This window comes from Homo sapiens, chromosome 5 (assembly GCF_000001405.40).
Source record: "Homo sapiens chromosome 5, GRCh38.p14 Primary Assembly".
Classification (NCBI taxonomy): Eukaryota; Metazoa; Chordata; class Mammalia; order Primates; family Hominidae; genus Homo; species Homo sapiens.
This window is the reverse complement of record NC_000005.10, coordinates 53,937,603-53,959,318: the sequence shown is the minus strand read 5'-3', so window position 1 is coordinate 53,959,318 and position 21,716 is coordinate 53,937,603. Positions and strand designations below refer to the sequence as shown.

At 38.0% G+C, this 21,716-nt stretch overlaps 1 protein-coding gene and 1 non-coding gene across 10 annotated transcripts in view; both read left to right on the top strand.

Annotated features, from left to right (window-relative positions):
- ARL15 (ARF like GTPase 15) overlaps window positions 1–21,716 on the top strand; it is a 426,632-nt gene that overhangs the window by 351,255 nt on the left and 53,661 nt on the right. The window contains exon 5 of one of the 9 annotated variants that reach the window (XM_047417340.1): window positions 4,739–6,597. The exons of the other annotated variants lie outside the window; for them this stretch is intronic. Coding sequence (XP_047273296.1) covers window positions 4,739–4,759 — 21 coding nt within the window. The 3' untranslated portion in view covers window positions 4,760–6,597. Of the gene's footprint in view, window positions 1–4,738; window positions 6,598–21,716 lie in introns of those variants that run through there. 9 annotated transcript variants of the gene reach the window in all.
- Window positions 7,720–7,815, top strand: MIR581 (microRNA 581). The gene has a single exon (NR_030307.1). It is a non-coding gene; the product is annotated as a microRNA 581 (primary transcript).

Here is a 21,716-nt window from a genome sequence, read left to right as displayed (position 1 = left end):
AGGTATTATCTTGGCAGTCATTTGGCTTAACAGTGCATCTTTTATTAATATCATACATTTATTAGCCAGCACATTTATTTGAAAATGAAACAAAATTTTTTTAAAACTTAAAATTGTAATAATTTTTACCATACTTTAAATTTATTGAGACTTGTTTTGTGGTCTAATATATGATCTGTCTTAGAGAATGTGCCACATGCACTTGAGAAGAAGGTGTATTCTGTTACTGGCTGGAGTGTTCTATGTATGTCTGTTAGGTCTAATTGGTTTATAATGGTGTTCAAATCCTCTTATTTCCTCACTGATTTTTCATCTAGATATTCTTTCTATTATTGAAAGTGAGGTATTGATGTCCCCAATTATTATTGTCGAATTTTCTATTTCTTCCTTCAATTTTGTAAATGTTGGCTTCATATACTTTGGAGATCTGATATTTGGTGCATATGTGTTTATAATTGTTATATCTTCTGATGAATTGACCCTTTTATCAATACATAATATCTTTTTTTGTCTTGTAAAAACTTTTTGACCATTTTAGCTGATATTATTTTAGTCACACCAACTGTTTTTTGGTCACTATGTGCATACAATATCTTTTTTCATCTGTGCACTTTAACCAATGTTTGTCTTTGGATCTAAAGTGAGTTTCTTATAAACAGTATATGGTTGGATCCTGATGTTTTTTACTCCATTGTGCCAATCTCTGCCTTTATATTGAAGAGTTTGATCCATTTATACTTCAAGTAACTACCAACAAGAATCTTAACCTTTTTGCTATTTGTTTTCTGTATGTCTTACACATTTTTGTCATTCCCTCCAGTACTGCCTTCTTTTGTGTTTAGTTGATGTTTTAGTGGAATGTATTGTTTTGATTCTCTTTTCCTTTTGTGATTTTTTAAAGACATTTTCCTAGTGCTTACTATGGGGATTACAATTAATGTCCTAAATTTCTAACAGTCTACTTTTACTTGATACCAACGTAACAGCATATAAAAACTCTGCTTCTGTACGGCTTTGTTCTCCTCCTCTTTATGTTGTTCTCATAAATTACATTTATATATTTTGTGCCCATTAACATATGTTTAAAATTATTTAAATGTTTTTTGCATTTGTCTTTTTTTTTTTTCTTTTTTTTGAGACAGAGTCAGTGGCACAATCTTCACTCACTGCAACCTCCTCCTCCCAGGCTCAAGCGATTCTCCTGTCTCAGCCTCCTTAGTAGCTGGGATTACAGGCAGCCACCACCGTGCCTGGTTAATTTTTGTATTTTTTGTAGAGATGGGTTTTCACCATGTTGGCCAGGCTGGTCTTGAACCCCTGACCTCAGGTGATCCACCCGCCTTGGCCTCCCAAAGTGCTGGGATTACAGGTGTGAGCCACCATGCCTGGCCACATTTGTCTTTTAAATCATGTAGAAAGTAAAAAGAGGAGTTACAAATTTAAAATATATACTAGCTTTTATATTTACCTGTTTGATTACTATTTTTCTGTTTTTGAGACAAGGTCTCACTCTGTTGCCCAGGCTGGAATGCAATGGTACAATCATGGCTCATTGCAGCCTTGACCTTCCGGGCTCAGTTGATTCTCTCACCTCAGCCTCCTGAGTAGCTGGGACTATGGGCATATACCACCATACCCAGCTAATTTTTGTATTTTTTTGTAGAGACAAGCTTTTGCCATGTTACCTGAGCTGGTCTCAAACTCCTGGGCTCAAGCAATTCACCCAAAGTGCTGGGATTATAGGCATAAATCACCATGCCTGGCTCCATTTGGTTACTTTTAACGGCATTCTTTATGTCTTTGTTATAGCTTTGACTTACTATCTAGTGTCCTTTTGTTTCAACCTAAAGAACTCTCTTTAGCCTTCTGGTAAGGGAGGTCTACTAAAAGCAAACCTTCTCGGTGCTGGTTTTTCTGGGAATGTTGTAATTTCTGCTTTATTTTTTAAGGATGTCTTGGTCATATATGAAATTCTTGGTCAACATTTTTTATTCTTTCAGCACTTTAAAAATGTTGTCCCACTCCTTTTTGGTCCCCATAGTGTCCAATGATAAATCTTCTCTTAGTCTTATTGAAGCTCACTTCTATGTGGTAAATTCCTTCTCTCATCTTGTTGCTTTAAAAATACCTTGTTTCAAAATTCCTTGGCTTTCAATAATTTGATTATTAGATGTTTTGGTGCAGATCTCTTTGCATTGATTCTTGTTGGAGTTCACCGAGCTTCTTGACTGTATAGATTTGTGTCTTTTTTTTACATTTGGGGAGTTTTTAGCCATTATTTCTTCAAATCATTTTTTTTCTTTCTCTTCTCTTCTGGGCTTCCCATTATGTGTAAGTTGGTATACTGTTATGGTGTCCAGCTGGTCTTTTAGGCTCTGATCATTTTTCTTCATCCTTTTTTCTTTCTGCTCCTCAGATTGGATAATTGCAGTGGACCTATCTTCATGTTCACTGGTTATTTTTTCTGCTTGCCCACATCTGCTATTAAAACCCTCTAGTGAGCTTTTTATTTGAGTCATTGTAGTTTTCAGCTCCAGATTTTCTGTTTGGTTCCTTTCTGTAATTTCTATCTCTTTATTGATGGTCTCTATTTGTTCATATGTCAGCTCCAGATTTTCTATTTGGTTCCTTTTTATAATTTCTGTCTCTTTATTGATATTCTCTATTTGTTCATGTATCATTCTCCTGATGTCCTTTAGTGCATCTATGGTTTCCTTTAGTACTGTGGGCATATGTAAGACAACTGACTTAAAGTCTTTATCTGTAAGTTTAGTGCCTTTGGTCCTCAGGGAAATTTCTATTAATTTCTTTTGTGAAATTTCTATTAATTTCTTTTGTGAAAAATATATAAGGCATGCAAAGAAAGAGGAAGTATGGTCTTTTGTGAATGGACCATACTTCCTCTTTCTTTGCATGCCTTATATATTTTTTGTTTAAAATTGGACATTTTGACTTTTGTAATATGGTAACCCTGGAAATCAGTCTTTCTTTTCTTCAGGGTTTTGTTGTTGTTGTTTGCTGTAAGCTGCAGCTGTTAGTTTAGTGACATTTCTAAACTATTAAAACGAGGGATGTATTCTTTATCATATGTGGTCTCTGATAGCTTTATTCCTTTAGCTTCCATTCAGATAGTGTTCTGAAAGAGATTTTCTTGAATGCCAGGAGCCACAAGCAAGAGAGAGGAAGTGGGGTGGGGGGAAGAAAATCTCTCAGGGTCTTTTTTTGAATGTATATCATGCTGTGGGTATGTGCATGACTTTGTAAATTCTCTAGTATATATAGACACTTTTGAATGCCCTGTTTTCTCAAAACAACGACAACAACAACAACAACTCTCTCCAGCTTTTCTTTTCCATATTTTTGGGACTCGTATGCCTCAACTTTAATCTTTTGTCCTAGGCAGCTGCAGGGTTTCCACCTCGAATGTGTTTTGAGTTAGGTGAAACAAAGTTCTTCAGGTAGCCTCTAGATAAGTTAGAAATGACAAAAACAATTCTTTGTAAATAAGGTACACTGTGCAGCCTTCAGAACCAGGCGCCAGGGTCCCACACTGGAAATCCAGACTGTTGCCTTTAAGACTGCTGCTGAGCCAGGAAACAGGTTTGGGCCAGAACATATGCAACTGTTACTGTGCTTTTCTACCATTTTTAAATTGCCTTACTCTTGATTCGGCATTGCTTAGTTGCTGTAAACCTTTGTCTGTTTTCCAGAGTTCTAACAATGTCAATTCTCAAAGCTTTTTCTTGAATTTTGAATGTTTCCTTGGGAGATGGGGCACTTGGAGGTGCCTACTCTGCCATTTTTGCTAACATCACTTTCCTGCCCTACTTTAAATTGTAAGTTTTAGAAGTGTGTTTTATTTATCGAAAAATTCTTTCTTAAACTGTAAAATCTATTCCAGTTTTGGAGCTTTAATTTCAGTTGTAATCCTAGTAAAATGCTGCCGTAAGCTCACAAGGTATGCTTTGCAAAATATTTATATATTTATAAATCTCTGTAAAGAAGAAATGGTAAATCTGACTGTATTAGCTTGGCAGAAAAGTGATTAGATCGAAAATTTTATCCTTTTCTAAAGTAACCTAATTGTTGTTGAAGGAAGAAAAGTATTGGGGTATCAGGATTGAATGGAAGGGTGTAGAGTCTTCCAGCTGTGCTGCTATCTTCCTTTGTCTTACAGTCCTTAGGTGGAGGGGCAGGTTCTTTAAGGTCTCCATCTAGTATGGCACATGAAATGTGCTCGATAAATGTTTGTTAGATGAACTTCAAGTTAACTAAGACATTGTTATTAAGTTAATCTAAAGCAGGAGATGTGCATTTCAGTGCTGGAAGAAGTATAGAGACTTTCACCCAAAGAACTATTTCTTAGGCAGATTCCAGAAAGTGATGTTGGAGTATGGCACATATGTTACCGAAGAGCTGGTGCAATGTGGAAACACTGGAGTGGAGGTCAGAAATTAGATCGATGCTCTTTCCATAAAATAGTTTCCACTTTAAGAACAGTGTTTTTAAAAGGAATATGTTCTTTCCTATGCAAAGAGGCAGTGTGGTCCTAGTTAGCAGTATGTTGGAAGCAAACTTTGGATAATGATGCCTAATTTTACTGACCGTTTTGAGTATTAAATGAGTCTATTTATGTAAAATATTTGATCTAGAGGCCTAACACTGTGTGGATTCTCAATAACCTAACCTGTTTACATGAGTTCTTAAAGTTGAATATGAGTTTCTACTCACTTTTCAGGTTATCAAGCATTTGGTGTGAAAGGAAACTGTTCTGTGGCAGACATGAAATGGCTGGGAAGTGGGAAACGCAGGGACATGATGTTCAAGGAGTGGACAGGTGATCCAGTGAGGAATTGGGCTATGGAACATGGAAATATTCTTAGAAAGTAATTACCTTATTTTTCTCCTTTTGTTGTATTAACTGATTAGCTTAATCACCTCCAAATAATGAGAAATCAGTATACAAGTTCTACACCTTGGCAGAGGGCTTGGATCCCAAGACAGAGGAAGGTATTTGCAGATGATGGATGGAGAGGATATATACAGCAACCTTACTGAAGTAGCTGGGTCTTCCTTGCCTGTATGTCATACCATGCTTCTTCAAATGTTTTATCCAGACTAAAGGATGCCAGGACTGATTTCCCAAACATTAGGATAATTCTACCACTTAGAGGAATGCAAGAAAGCTCCCCTGTCTTTGGTGATTTTTTTTTTTTTTTTTTTAAGTAGAAGATGAGAAATAGCTTGTATGGAACAGAGAAGTCTTTGTACCGATACATATTCAACTAAAGATCTGAAAATCAATAATCTCAGGTTTTGAAAATAGAATGCTATTCTTATACCATATGTTTAATGTACATCTGTATAAGGTTAACAAAAATCTATTACCATCTCACTACTTAGTCTGAAATGGAAAACCTAGTGTTTTTAAGTGATCATAGATAATTCATTAAAGCGTAAGGCTCCTACATAATAATTATTGCTTGTCACTTTTGAATCAACAAATAGATATTATGATGGATCAGAGAACTTTTGATATATCCGTATTAATTATGATTGTCTCATTAAATATAGAAAATGTTTGTTCTCACATTCCTTTGGCTGACACCTCCTCTTCCTTCAGGCGTCGGCATTACAAAATGTATTTCCCACTGCACCTGCCCCTGCCTCTACCCATCCCTACCACCTTTGCCCTCCACCCTCTTCATATGAAAAGGTCTTCCTGCTTCACACCCATAGCACACTGACCATCAGTAGCACTGATCACAACTACAGTTGGTTAAATTTTGCGTAATAAATTTTCTAATGAGGATTTACCTCAATATATTCTCTGCTTCAAGAAATAGTGATATTAGGAAAGGGCATATACAAACAACTCAATCTACTTTGCTGTATAAAAAGTTCACTTATTTATAGAAAATTTAAATATAATACATATTAAGATTCTCTGAGCTCCCTACTAAATAACAATAACCCCTCACATTTGCATAGTGCTTTATACAAGACACGTATATTATCCTCCTCAATTCTTCAGAGGTAGGTAGAATCTCATTTATTTTATGGATAAGAAACTGAGACTCAGAAAGGTTAAGTAAGTTCCACAAGATCATGGAGCCTAGTAATTTGCAAAATAAGGCCTCCAATCAAATCCTAGTTTTCTTTCTATACCCCAGCTGCAGCTTTTAGTAATGGTCTAGTTCAGCATACATATAAATATTTATAAACATTGTGTCATTGTTCTGAATGAGTATATCTTACTATTTTGACTGTTTTATGACAGTGGAGCTGCGTAGTAAAGTGAACATTTGCAGAAGTTTAATCTACAGCCATTTTATATTCCCTCTCCCTCTGCTTTGAGATTTTATCCTTTGCTAGCAACAACATTCTTCTGTAACAACAAATAAAGCAAGCATCTTCCTATTTGCCTTCAAATAAAACAGGTTTAGGGATTATCTGCTCTTTTCACATACTTAAACACACCTTGAGTTTCTTTTTATAGACTTTCCTTTCTCCTGACACTGTGAAATCCCAGTGCTGTTTCTTATTTGAATGTTTTATCATCTGACACCTAATAATAAAAAGTCATTGGCACAATAACAGAGTTTCATCTTTCTTAAAGTTTAAAAATGTTTAGAAATTATTTCATTTCTTAAATAAAAATTGCAGTAGAATTAAGTATTTCCCTAGAGAGATAAAGATTGAAATTTGAAAGTAAATTGCTACTAACTTTGAGCCAATTAAAAAACTTTCATGGAAATGATTTTTTTCACATTCATTTTTTTTAATGTAGTGCTAAAACCAAGGAGTATCATATAAAACAGGCCCAAGGCACGTTTTGTACCTAAGCTAAAAATTACTTTTGTGGCCTTTGACATATCAAGGAACTTTGCTATTATAATGCAAGCATAAGATGAAATTTATTCAACCTTTTGAAAGTTTAAACATAAAAAGTTTAACATAAGAAACTAAAAAGTTTAAACATAAAAAACAGTTATTGTCTGTGCAAGGACTCAAATTCTTTCACTCTCTTCTTTTTTGTTTGTTTGTTTTTATTTTTGAGACAGAGTCTCACTCTGTTGCCCAGGCTGAAGTGCAGTGGCGTGATCTCAACTCACTCCAACCTCTGCCTCCCGGGTTCAAGCAATTCTCTGCCTTAGCCTCCCGAGTAGCTGGGATTACAGGCACCCACCACCATGCCTGGCTATTTTTTTTATTTTTAGTAGAGACAGGGTTTCACCATCTTGGCCAGGCTGGTCTTGAACTGACCTCATGATCCACCCTCCTCGGCCTCCCAAAGTGCTGGGATTACAGGCGCGAGCCACCACGCCCAGCTACTCTCCTCTTTCACACACAATTTCCAAAATCACAGCACAGATTGTCCAGAAAACATTTGTACTAATAGTTTTGTTTATGGAATTTGAGTTATTCCCCAAAGCACAAAATGTAAAAAAAAAAAAAAAAAAAAAAAAAATTCTTTTATGTAAAGTCTAAGAGAACAGTAAAAATATATAATGTGGTAGCTGGTAAGGAAGAAACTGGTTATAATTTTAAAGCATAAAGCATAATGCTTGAAAAAGATTCATGGAAAAACTATAATTTTATCTAGTTAATATATTTACAAAGCAATATATTTATTTACTGATATTTTTAGTGGTCATCATATCGAAAATATATAGGGAAGGAGTATATAGGGAAGGAGTAAGTAAGGTTTTCCAAAAAGTTATGTGAAGGTATTCTTGTGTTCTCTAGATCAGTGCTTTTAGAAAATTTGTGTGATCTAAAGAACACAAAGAATACCTACACAGAACCACCTGCAGACTGGTGCCAGTCCACAAAATATCTGTTTGAGTATGCAAGAAGATAAATACAGAAATTGAGAGTAAACATTTAGGAAATTTATAGCAATCTGACATCTCTGCAACATCCAAAGTATATGATTTTTGTATTCTACAAAAGCTTAGCTCAGATCTATGATGGGTTAGAAAACAAATACTCAAAACAAACCAGCTCCTTCACCACAGATGGTATTTGAAGTTCTGATCAAGCTCATGGTCTGCAAACCTTTTCTCTAAAGGGTCAGATTGTAAATATAGGCTTTGTAGGCCATACTCAAAGTCCCTGCTACTCAGCTCTCCCATACCCAGCTGCAATAGACAATATATAAACAAATGAATCTTGCTGTGTTTCAGTGAAACTTTATGGACATTGAAATTTGTATTTCATCTAATTTTTATGTTCTTAATATGCTAATATTGTTTTGATTTTTTTCCCCCAACCATTTAAAACTGTGAAAACCATTCTTGGCTCTTGCAGGCCATATGAAAACAGGGAGTGGGCTGGATTTGGCCCTCAGGCCAAGTTTGCTGACCCCAAGCTAGATCAGCAGTCCAGCCATCGTCAGGAACAGATGCTGTTATTTCTTAGTCTCAGTGTTCCCGTCTGTCTCGGGATTTTAATTGCCACTTACTTTCACTCTGCAGTTTGGGTTATTATTCAAGAAATACCTTAGAGCACTCATAATGCTTAGAACATTATGTTTAATAAAATCCAGAAGGAAAATGTTCCAAGTATCTCACTGTGGGAATACATTTTAGGATTTACTATGACCTACTGGTTTACATGAACTTTGCTGAGAAAAAAAAAAGCATGGAGAAGATTGGGATGGAAGATCTCTTTATTGTGTGTATAAAAGTAGTAATAGGCTATTTTAATTTGTGGCCTGGAATGGGTAGTGATAGAGCATGAGTTGAAATCTTGCTTCACGATTACCCTCAAATGGAGAAGTAATCTGTTTCAAATGGTAATCAAATGAAAAAAAGCTGTGAGTAGATTGTGTTAGCTTAGCCACCAAAATAGAGAATTTCTCAGATTCCCCCTCTGTCTCCAGTCCTTATTTTCTCCTACTGTTAACAGAAATTCAAACCCCAGCTGCTCCCATAGTTAACCAGCCGTCATGACATCGTCGTCTTTCTGTTCTTAGCAATTTCCATCTGGCTTAGTAGAAGTGGTTCCTCACTACCTTGAGCATAGTCGTTTTTTTTTTTTTAATTTTTGTAGAAACGAGGTTTTACTGTGTTGCCCTGGCTGGTCCTGAACTCCTGGCCTCAAGCATTTCTCTCACCTCAGCCTCTCAGAGTGCTGGGATTACAGGCATGAGCCACCATGCCCAGGCCGCCACTTTAAACACTTGAATACTACATACTTTCACTACTTGATTGATCTTGCACATAATCATCAAATTACAACATTCATGTTTATGGTTTTACTTATTTGTTTTTCACATTTATGTAGTGCCTTTTTTTCTGCATCGCTTAACATTTGCCAACAAATATCTGCACGTGAACTAAGCAAGTCATTCTGTTAGCACAATGACCTTGAGCAAAGGCACTTTCCTTCTTCATATGCATTTGTTAGTCTTTAGTCCTAAGTTTTTGCTTTTGTTTAGTTTGTTTTTTCACTCTTCACATACGAGCAGTCTTTTGGAAAGAGTTACTTATAGTATTTCTAACTTGGAGAAACCTTTCATCAAGTTGAAAAAGTTCAGTGTTCTGAGCGATTATGATAGAATCTCCTGTCAGAATATATGTTCCCTTTTTGTTCTACTTCAAAATATAAGAGGTTAACTCTTGTAGGCATGCCACAGTATTTTTGGATTAAGTCAGGCCCTCCAAAAAACTTAGAACTATGAAACAAACCAGTGTTTAAGAAGACACATCCTTGGAATATGAGCAAGCCCATTAATTCTGTATTTTGAGTAAAAGGTGTTTGATCTTATGCATGCTGTCTTCCATGTCATCATTTCAAATGATGAAGAAACTACATCTCCTAATATTTGAGAACAAACTGCAAAAGTTGGTCCCTTGATTGTATTATAAATCCATAAAAAGACCCATTTTTAAACACAGCAACTTTTTAGGCAACTTCCTGTTTTTCACTTGAAATAGAAGTCAAACTGTTATAAGTGCTGTCTTCATTATTCATATTTAATTACACAGTGGCTTATTCTTCATTATTTTAGTGTATTTGTGAATACTCTAGCTATTGAGTAGAATACTGGTTACAAAGCTAGTCTATAAACAACATGAAATGAAGGGTGCTGACTCAGAAATTTAGAGTCCTCCACAATACCATATCCAATGGGAATTAAATCATTGTATTGTCTTGTGAGTCTTGAGGCTTATTTATCTAACTGATGTTTATCAAGCACCTTCCATGTGGCAGGCAGTATGTAGCTTTTATTTTATTTAGCAGTATCTTTTTTAAGATTATAAATTTTTTGTTGAATATTATTTGCAATCAGGGACACTTCTAAACTTAAGGAAAAACTTTACGACTAAAGTGCCAGCTCTCTTCAGAATGGCAGTGAAGGTAATGATTTGCGGTTCTGTGTGTGTATGAGTTTGTTATTATAAAATCCTTCAGCTCCGGGCTATGTACATTTATGTTTCAGTAGCATGTCTCATTAAATCCTTTAGTGCAGTACTTCTCAGTGAAGTGAGTTCTGATCAATGTGAAGGAATGCTGAGTGGGCACAATTGTGACTCTTGTTCTGAATATTACCTGTGCTTCCAGAAAAGTATTTTAGCAAGTGTATGACCCCTGGTTAATGAAAAGTGTTAAAATATATCAAATAAACTGTCTTAATTGTTCTTTTAATAAAAATATATGTCCACTTGGAAATAATAATTTCACTATTTTAACGACTGTAGTTGTTTTGGAAATTTGTTAGATAAAGGCTCCAACAGCATAAACTAATAGTTTTATATTACCAGATTGCTTCCAGATTTCTCTTTTCTGTTCAGTGAATAAGAATAGGGTGTAGGATCAAATTTCTAATGATTTTCTCCAGGAGAACCACTGTTACGCAAATACCGAATTTATAACACTTCAAAATAGACATCAGGGCAAATTTTACAAGACCTATCAGTTCATTTTTATTGTTTGCTTCTGTAGGTAGTCATATAGAAGACCAAAAGAACCATAAAACACTGTTTTTACATACATGATGATAGGAGTTAGGTGGGGTAAAGTTTACTAATATTTGTTAAGGAACCTACTACAGTAGTTCCAACTTTATTTTGGACACTTACATTTGTTTGTCATTATCTGTCCTCTGTTCCCAAATTGCCTTAATTTGTATATCATCATCTTACGTATTCACTGTCATTATCTCAAGTTTCCAAGGGTTTTTGCTATGTCACTATTTTTTACCTGTGCCTATTCTATTTCTTTTCTTTCTAATTTGTTTATTAGTTCTACAGTGTTATTGTTTAATTTATTGTTTCCTTCTGCAACCTCCCTTTTTATCTCATTTTTTTCCACTGGTGTCTCATTTAATTTCTATTTTCTTTAATCTTGTAGTGTAATGCACTCACGGAGATTTTTGGAGGAAGGTGGAGAGGGCTGTTTTCTTCTAAACTAGATTCTTGCTTCCTTCCCAGCCCTCCCCCTTTCTTTCATTTTTTTCTTTGCTCTGGGAGTCCTGCTTAGTTGTCATAGTCTTTTCTCTTTGTAAAACTTAAGTTGAATATGAACAACTCACTCAGGATCTTTTCTTCATTCTCTAATGTTGGTGAATTGTCCTTGTCTTGCTTTTTAACCGTCTCTAATTAGACCTCGGGGTCTAGTCCCAGAGCTGCATTCAGTTTGAGGAGTCGACCTGAAGACCCACATGCTGGAGATGAGGTAGAGTTAGTTGAGCTGGGCTGCGTGCTGGGATCCTACAATCCCAGTTGTTGGTAGGATCTTTGCTCTTCCTCAGTAATTGTATTAAATGCCCTGCATCAGGGTTTGCTCTACATATTCACAGATATATCTCTGGAGGAGTGAGATACGGGGCTTTGGATTATTCCTCCAATTCAAGGAGGTGCTTGCAAGCCATTTGTTTGATTAGTTTTGGCTAAGAATGTCAGCCTCAGGTGTCTCCTTCCCTTGCCACATCCTATCTTTCCCCCAGCAAGTGTTTTTATCTCTTTCCAGCTAATGGAGAAAGGAGAAACCTGTATGCTTTTACCATGGCATTATTAATCCACAGACAGGGAAGGGAACCTCACCTGGGAATTTTCTGCCTTTAATTCTCCTTCTCTCCCAGCCCTCAACACACACACACACACACACACACACACACACACACACACACACACACACACACCCTTATTTATTTTTCTCTTTGGCTAGACCTTTGTTTACTGTTTAAGATACAGTAAACTCTGATACAGACTAGCGAACCTCATGTTAGCACCAACTAAGATTTAACACAACTGGCAATTGGCTATCTCCTTCCCTTCATCCCAGCCCTTGTCCTTGTTTTATTAGCTCTACAACAATGAGATCCCACATACATGATTGAATTTGTTAGACTCCTACATACAGCTTTATAATAGAGTTTGGCTGTAATTAATTAGCTTTGCTTGATTATGACTCATTTCCCTTTTCTTCTCCTTTCCTCCCAGGCATAAAAAGCCAAAATGGTGAGTTCTGATTTGCTTTTCTGTGTCTGAGGAGATTCCTGTGATGGCAGGAAGAGCTTTTTACTATGGATGGATTTTTCCATCTCCTCCCTGGGCTGCCAAAATGCTAGCTTAGATCCATTTTCCCCAAATTGGGGGCTGTTAATGATAGTTTTCAGGATTTTGGCCACCTAACTTTCCCACCTCCAATGCAATCCCTTTTTACCTAGGAATCTTCTATTCATGGGCACCGCTTATACAGAATATGGTATGATGTTCTCTTTAACTTGGTTGGTCTCTGGTAACATTTTTGACTTTTTTTTCTTTTAACAGCGATTTTAAGTTTATTCCATTAGGGGAAAGATTCTATAATCTGGCTTTATTATGTCTTTTTTTTTTTTTTTTTTTTTTTTTCCTCTTGAGACCGAGTCTTGCTCTGTCGCCCAGACTGGAGTGCAGTGGTGTGATCTCAGCTCACTGCAACCTCCGCCTTCCAAGTACAAGCAGTTCTCCTGCCTCAGCCTCCCGGGGAGCTGGGATTACACTTGCATGCCACTACGCCTGGGTTTTGTATTTTTAGTACAGATGGGGCTTCGCCATGTTGGCCAGGCTGGTCTCAAACTCTTGACTTCAGGTGATCCACCTGCCTTGGCCTCCCAAAGTGCTAGAATTATAGGTGTGAGCGATGGTGCGCAGCCTATTATGTCATTTTAGCCCAAAAGTTCTGTGCTAGGCACTTCAGGTTTAAGACTTTTAATCTTTACAGGCCTGCTCAATAAACCATAGTGATATGATCCCTCATTCATACATGAGGAAACTGAAATTTGAAAGAGTGAGGGTTCCCAATGCCACACAGCTAAAGGGTGGAATATCAGGGTCAAATGCAGATGGATCTGTCTCCAAAGCCTGTGGTGTCTCCACTTCAGTGCTGCTGACTTGTGCTGCTGTCTGATGCTGGGTACCTCAGCAACCCTTCTAGGCTTTAGTTACTTCGTCTACAAAATAAGGGGCCTGGCCTGCAAGGTCCTTCCCAGCTCTAAACTTCTATGTTTATGGTTAGTGGAATGAGAACACTACATTTTACTTTAACATAAATTTACTTGACTTTACATTTAATAGCAATGGCCATATATTTCAAGTTTAAATATATATTTACATATTTCTGCAGTCGGGAATTTTAGATTATATAAACCTTTTTGTTTTTGCAACTCATTTTTCAGGTGCTTTGGAATTTCACTGCTGTTCTTTTTAATGTATGGTGTTTGCAATTGTAAAGTTTGGAATTTTCATTCAAATGTGAATTTTTTCTCTTATTCTGTCTTGGTTTAACACTTCTCAGTGTGCTGAGAATGCCTGAGTTGGAGGTAGTTTGAGAAAGTGGAGCAAAGCAAAACTAAATAACTCGTTTGGAGGTTAAACCTTCACCCTTGACCTAAACAAACTGAGTTAACGAACCAAAGATTACATTATGGAGACTACAAACCCCTGCTTCTACAAGTTTATAATCTAAAAGATAAACTGTCTGATGTCAATGTACGTCTAAACTACTCAGTAAACATACCCAGTAAACGACAAACATGTCCGTGTTCACAGTTGCAACGTAATAGTGATGTAGAAGCTAGGAGTACAGTGGAAATAGCGATTGTCTGTTAGATCAGGAAGTACAGAACATGAAAGGCCACTGTGGACAGAATGGATCATCGTAGGAATAAGGTCACATGAGGCAGGACTTTGAAGATGGTTGAGTAGAGACGAGGAAGCTGACTCACATCTCTCTCAGCCACTCCAAGCTTACTCCTTAGTCAAGTGCTGTTTAGCCCTCTGCCTACAAGAATGCAGCCTCCCTGATCTGTTGCCCAGGAATCAGTATTTGTTTTTCACTGCCTTCTTTCTAAATGTCAATTCCATCCCAAAGATGGGATCCTTAGAAGTATTGAACCTATATTGGCCTGTCTCTGCATAGTGTAACTTAATTGGGCTACTTCTAACCATGCTTTTCTCTATTTTGTTTATTTGGTATTCTTTGAGGACATTATATGTGCCAGACACTTTGCTAGGCCTTAGGTATATAGTGACGAGCAAAAGAAATAGTAATTAAGCTGATACATTTGTAGTGAATCAGAAAATTAGCAATTCTAGAAAAGCAGACAAATAATTAGCAAAGAAATCAAGGAAAAGGATAAGGTAGTAGGATAGAAAATAGCTGAGAGTGCAGTCGGGAGCTACTCAGTAGGTGATCAGGTTTGTTGTTTGTTTTTTGTTTGTTTGTTTGTTTTTTGAGGCAGGGTCTCACTCTGCCACCCAGGCTGGAGTGCAGTGGCATGATCACAGCTTTCTGCAGCCTCAACCTCCCAGACTCAGGTGATCCTCCCACCTCAGCCTCCCGCATGCCACCACACTCAGCAAATTTTTTGTATTTTTTGTAGAGATGAAGTTTCACCGTGTTGCCCAGGATGGTCTCAAACTCCTGGGCTCAAACGATCCTCCTGCCTCGGCCTCCCAAAGTGCTGGGATTACAGGTGCGAACAACTGTGCCCGGCCAGGTCATTTCTTTATTTCATCCCTTTTCTCATATATTCCAAGTCTCTTGCTCAAGCTGTTTAACCACTCCCTTGTGGACTTTTTCTAAAGCCCCATATCTAGGCTGTTTGTCTACAGAATTGATGATACTTTTAAACTCCTTTTAGTTAAAACCCAAGTATTTGTTCAAACCCTGTTGTGTTTTTGGCTCTGTGCCAGACATGGTGGTGTTTACCATGTAGTTCTAAGGCCCTGTAAGATCCCTAGAAGGATCTTAATTCATTTTCTATCCTTCACTTGCTGTGATTTTTATCTCCCATGCCCATGTAACATGGGGTCCAGAGTTGAGATGAGTGTCTTTCTTGTTCCTTACTGCCACTTCCAGACCATTTATCTTGCAATTAAAAATTCCATTTCCTTTTAATTTTAAGCCATTGCACTATTCTACCTACTACTGTTCTGGACACATTTTGTACAGCTTCCTGTTGATTCTGACCATCATTCATAGAAGCTTTTGAGCGCTGGTTTGACACCTCTTCTTCCCATGGCTGTCTGTCATTCTTGGAAACTCCAGCTCTCAGGTAGAAAATTTATCCAGCTTTGGTTCTCTTAGTTCCTTGAGCACTTTCCTTCCAACAATCTTTCTTTCACTCTATCTCAGCCACCCACTCAGGCCATTCTCAACCAGACTTGGCCATTATAAGTAGCTGTACCACCTGTGAAACCTCATCTTTAAGCACTGTCTTTGACAATTCCTGTCTTTTCAACTCACTTACTCCATACCTGCATCAGAAAAACTGAACATGACAGAAGGAAAAACCAGCAATACTACTCCTGACTGGCTTATTAAATTGATGACCATAAGGCTCAAGGGGCCCCAAATTTTCTAGTAATCTTAGCTGGTCACTTCTCTGGGAAGGACTCATTCATAGTTTCTCCTCCTCTCTCAAACCTTCAGTATCCCTTCCACCTTCTCAGTGGATGACCTCACTCCCTGTTTCCCTGAGAAAATAAAAATCATCAAAACAAAAAATCTACTAACCTTTTACACACACTTTCTTACCATATCCTTTTTCCTTTCACCTACTGAAGTTACATTTTCTTTCTGGCATCATCACTTTGTTCTTCTCTCTAGTGAATTATTACAATCAGGATACAGAGTGTTAAAATTATATACATAGCCCGTTAAAATCTTTTAAAAATCCCTTCTTATCTTCCCCAACACCCCCGCCCACTCCCCACTGACCAGCCCTCCTCCAGCAAGTTTCTTTCTTGGCTCTGCAAGCACACACTTATCGTGAAGCTCCTAGAGAGAACATTTATTGTCTCTTTGTTGCCTCCATTTCCTCCCCTCCCATTTTCCCTCTTGAAGTCATGCCAATCAGTTCTCTCATGACTCAACTACTACGCAATCCACAGCGGATCCATCCCTCCTTCCTGAAGCACTTTCATCACTGGTGGCTGCTTATCACACCCTCACATGTCCTGACTTCTAAATAGTGGAATGCGGGCCTCATTTTGTTTTTAATCTCTTCTCCACCTACACTCATATCCTAGGTCATCTCACCTTTCCCATGGTTGTTTTGTTTTGTTTTGTTTTGTTTGAGATGGAGTCTCGCTCTGTCACCCAGGCTGGAGTGCAGTGGCGCGATCTCGGCTCACTGCAACCTCCACCTCCTGGGTTCAAGCGATTCTCCTGACTCAGCCTCCTGAGTAGCTGGGATTACAGGCGCATGCCACCATGCCCAGCTAATTTTTGTATTTTTAGTAGAGACGGGGTTTCACCATGTTGGCCGGGATGGTCTCGATCTCTTGACCTCATGATCCACCTGCCTCGGCCTCCCAAAATGCTGGGATTACAGGCATGAGCCACCGCGCCTGGTCCTTGGTCCATGGTTTTAAATACACCAATGATGCCTATAAACTGATGAGTCCTACATTTAAATCTCTAGCCAAAGCTCTCAACCGATTTCTAGATTATTCCTGTGCTTCCACAGCTTCTAGTGCCACTGGTATGTCTGATGCCATCTTACATTTAAGGTCAAAAGATTCCTGAAGCCCCCACACAACTCAAACCCAACTTCTCCCCCATTGTTTTCCATCTCAGTCAAAGTAGCATCCTTCCCTCTCTTCCCCACCCACCCCACAATTTACCTAGTTCCCTGGCCCCAGTTTCTCTCAGTGCCCACATGAGCAAGACCAGTTGCCTTTATCTTCAAAATATATCCTGAACCTACAGTATTACCACCCTAGTCCAAGCAACCTGCAACCATTCCTCTCTGGATTCTTGTAATTGCTTCCTACCTGGCATCTCTGCTTCCATTCTTGCCCCTGCCCGCCCCATACTCTTTACATGGATTTTTTAAATAGATAAATCAGACTGTGCCACTTCCCTTCCCAGAGCCCTGCGGTGGTTTCTCATCATGAAAATAAATAGCTCTCCTGACCCAGGCCTTGCTTAGCTTTCTGACTTCCTTTTCTACTGCTGGAGACAGTTAGAGGTGAGCACCCTGTAGAGAGGTGGGCCCTCTATTAGGTGGAGGGGAGGGGAGGAAAGGGAGGAAGGGAGGGAAGAAAGCGAGAAAACACCAACAACTCAAAGAAGAATCACCACATAAACAACTGTGCCCACCAGGAACATGCATCTTGCCTGCTATTATCTAATAGTTGAGATGTGAAGTGGACTGGCAAATTTGTGGGTTCTGGTTATGGAGAACTGACCTAGGTTGATATTCATTCTGCCAGAGCCACTGGAATTTGTAGTTTCTGAAAAGACTTGTGTTATTTGGCAAAACCAGAATTGGGCATCATTTATCTTCATGTACTTAGCCAAAGCCCTAGAAAAACTTTTTTGATTCTTAAGAAAATGATCTAAACCCAATAATCCTTGCTTCGTTTATTTTTAACGACAGGCCCATTCTGTAGAGTTTTTCTGTATGAACTTACCCGACCTCCTGTAAAAAGAAAGATCTACCTTGGATATAGAAATTTATTTATTATCTGTTTCATTCTGTTCTTTTCTGAGAACAGCAAGTTTTCCACGTAGTTCTGTATACATAATCCTTTTTTTAAAGGATTGCAGGCACATTTTATTGTGAATTTGGCCATGGTTTAATGATGTATAATGTTGGATTTCTTCATATCTTAAATATTAAAAAAGCTTATACAGAAGTAAAGGGAAAGGGGAAGAAGGAGAAAAGTAGAAGAAGAGAATGACTAATGCTTTGGTTTAACAAATAACATTGTGAAATAAACCATTGATATTTTGTAAGGTAAAAATCTTTCAAATCTACTCATTATTATAATAATAAGTAATAAAATACTCATCTCACAGGCAGTTCAAAGGAACCCCATTGACTAAACTTGGTAATTAATTGGTAAGCTTTAATGGACAATATAATAAATATTTTTCTTGTAAAAGCTTGACCTAGTACAATTTTTGGTGAAACAGTTTGCTTTTACAGAATAATAAAACTACAAAGACATTTTGAGAATTAAGTCAGCTGCATGATGTGATCATTAAGCTATTTGCTATAAAATGTACATTCAAATTATTAGAAGTTCAAAAGAATTGATGACACATTAGAAATGTATTTTCTGTTTTTCATATGAAACATAAAAGCTCTAGAAGTTATGGGCATAAGTGAAGTATGCATGTTTCCTTCTCTCCCTTCTTAAAAAATCCATAATTGTTCTCTGTTTAAGCATAGAAAAATGCCATGTGACTTTTATTTCTCCAGAAAATTAGGAATAACCTGTGGGCATTTAAGGTTATACTAGAACATGCATAATGAGTGAATTCCTATTAATTCCATGTTATATTGAGGAAAAATGCTTCAAATATACGTAACTTCCACCAGAGTAGTTAGCTTTTTCTTAGCTATATTTGGAACTTTGATTACTACTCTTAATCTCTTTCAAAGTTTAATTTTATTAAATTGCTCAAAGGTAGAGACAAAAGGTTATGGTGTTTTTCTTTTTTCTTTCAGCAAATGAAGAAAATACAAATTTGCTACATGCCTATGGGAATTAAGCAGTATCATAGCACTGGTTGGTCTAGTTTTAAAACTTCAGGACTGCCGGGCGCGGTGGTTCACGCCTGTAATCCCAGCACTTTGGGAGGCCAAGGTGGGCGGATGACGGGGTCAGGAGATCAAGACCATCCTGGCTAACACGGTGAAACCCCGTCTCTACTAAAAATACCAGAAAAATTAGCCGTGGCAGGCACCTGTAGTCCCAGCTACTCGGGAGGCTGAGGCAGGAGAATGGCGTGAACCAGGGAGGCGGAGCTTGCAGTGAGCCGAGATCGCGCCTCTGCACTCCAGCCTGGGCGACAGAGCGAGGCTCCGTCTCAAAAAAAAAAAAAAAAAAGTTCAGGACTTTATTTTCAAGCAAAAATCAAAGTTGTTTGTTGTTGTTGTTGTTGTTGTTGTTGTTTTTTCTGGATAACACCTAAGTTACAAACGTCTGTTCATATTTGTTTGAATCAGTGTTTAATTTTATTCTTTTATGATTATTAATCTACAGATTTCAAATGTAAGGAACATTGGAATAGTGAGTGATGTAGCAGCTAACTTTCTTTTTCTTTCTTTCTTTATTTTATTTTATTTTTTTTTGAGACGGAGTCTCGCTTTATCTCCAGGCTGGAGTGCAGTAGCGGGATCTCGGCTCACTGCAACCACCACCTCCCGGGTTCAAGCAATTCTCCTGCCTCAACCTCCAGAGTAGGTGGGACTACAGGCGCGCCCCACCACGCCTAGCTAATTTTTTTATTTTTAGTAGAGACAGGGTTTCATCATGTTGGCCAGCATGGTGTTGATCTCCTGACCTCATGATCCACCCACCTCGGCCTCAGAAGGTGCTGGGGTTATAGGCGTGAGCCATCGCGCCCGGCCCAGCATCTAACTTGCTATTTGCAAAACGGAAATGTAATGACTGAATATTTTCGTCAGTCCAAAAATTTGTGAAGAGAAGAATTTTAATAACATTATAACAAACAGTAATGTCAGTAAAATGGAAACTGAAATGCATGCATTAGCATGAAATATAAGACTAGGGGAAGAGACAGAAGATAGGTAACACTTTCATAAGAAAAATTATTAGAAAACATTCGTTCCCGAGTGAAAGGAAAGGTGAAGGTACTTGAAGAAAATGAACAATTGCCTTTTCACTCATCCAGAGTGCCTTTGAACTCATTCAGAGCTCTTTGTAAATCTAATCAATTAATGATGCTTGAAATATGTTTAATTTGGGTAGTTGAGGGAAGTATGTTCTAGAAGAAATGCAACCAAGATATCTTTTGGGTGAGAATCTAAGAGGAAGTGATGGATTGTTTGTTGATTTCACAGTAACTGAGAGGAAATCTATAATAGCTTAAAGGATTTTAGCGTAATTTTATGATGCTAACAAATTTGTGTCGTAAACTGACGCTAATATGGCCAGACTGCCAAGTGATGCATACTGTAAACACCGATAAGAATTGCATTTTATTTATTTATTTATTTTTGAGACAGAGTCTCTCTCTGTCACCCAGGCTGGAGTGCAGTGGCATGATCTCGGCTCACTGCAACCTCTACCTCCCAGGTTCAAGCGATTCTCCTACCTCAGCCTCCCAAGTAACTGGAACTTGCAAGTAACATGTGCCTAGAGGCACATGGCACCACACCCGGCCAATTTTTATATTTTTAGTAGAGACAGGGTTTTGCCATGTTGGCCAGGCTGGTCTCGAACTCCTGGTCTCAAGTGATCTGCCTGTCTTGGTCTCCCAAGTGCTGGGATTACAGGCGTGAGCCACAGCACCCGGCCAGAATTGCATTTTGGGTGTCAACCTGGTAAAGGAGACAGTTGGAAGATCTTGGACAAAAGATTGATGTATGCAAAATACTGAAAAGGTTATTGGTAAGACAATGAGTGCAGACTATTTTAGAAATGTGATTTGATTCGTTAATTCCTTGTACAAGAAAGTAAAAATATTTATCCAGACATGTGGTAGGGAAGTTCCCTAAAGTAGACATATAGTGCTGTAGTTTAATTGCTCACTAAGTATTCTTGGTGTCACAGGCATTATAAGCCAGTTTAAAATTTTGATTTTTTTTTTTTTAGCAGAATGTTAACCAAGGAGAAATATGGATAAACTCCTTTTTTAACCACCCTCCCCAACAAAAGACTAGAAGAGCCATACAAGTAAAAGCAAAATAAAACATTTTGCATGTTTGTAGGTTCTTCTAAATGTTGAACCCCATATCAGTTGAGGGTGTTGATTTTAACAAGCCTCTGGATCAAGAGAAAACTAATTGAGCATTTTAGTATGATGTATCTCTCATAATGAACGCTGTTATTTCTACCCTCATGAGAATGAATATAAACACAGATATGACGTTGACATGAATGGCCATGGAAATTGTTTACCCCAGAGTGGTGATGATATTATGGTTAAACTGGCTGTGCACTGTTTGGCCTGGGAAGTTCCTTAAAGTGTTTCATACCCACTTCACCCCACCCCACTCCACCCCTTTTTTTTTTTTGCCATTTCATAGTGTACCCCTGATCACATAGATTTGGCACATCATGGTTGGTGTTAGTATTATTTTGATACAGTTAGGTGATTTCACCATTGTGTGACCATCACAGAGTGTACTTACACATACCCAGGTGGTAGAGCCTGCCTGCTACACTCCTAGGCTGTATGGTAAAGCCTGTTTTTCCTAGGCTACAAACCTGTACAACATGTACTGAATACTGTAGGCA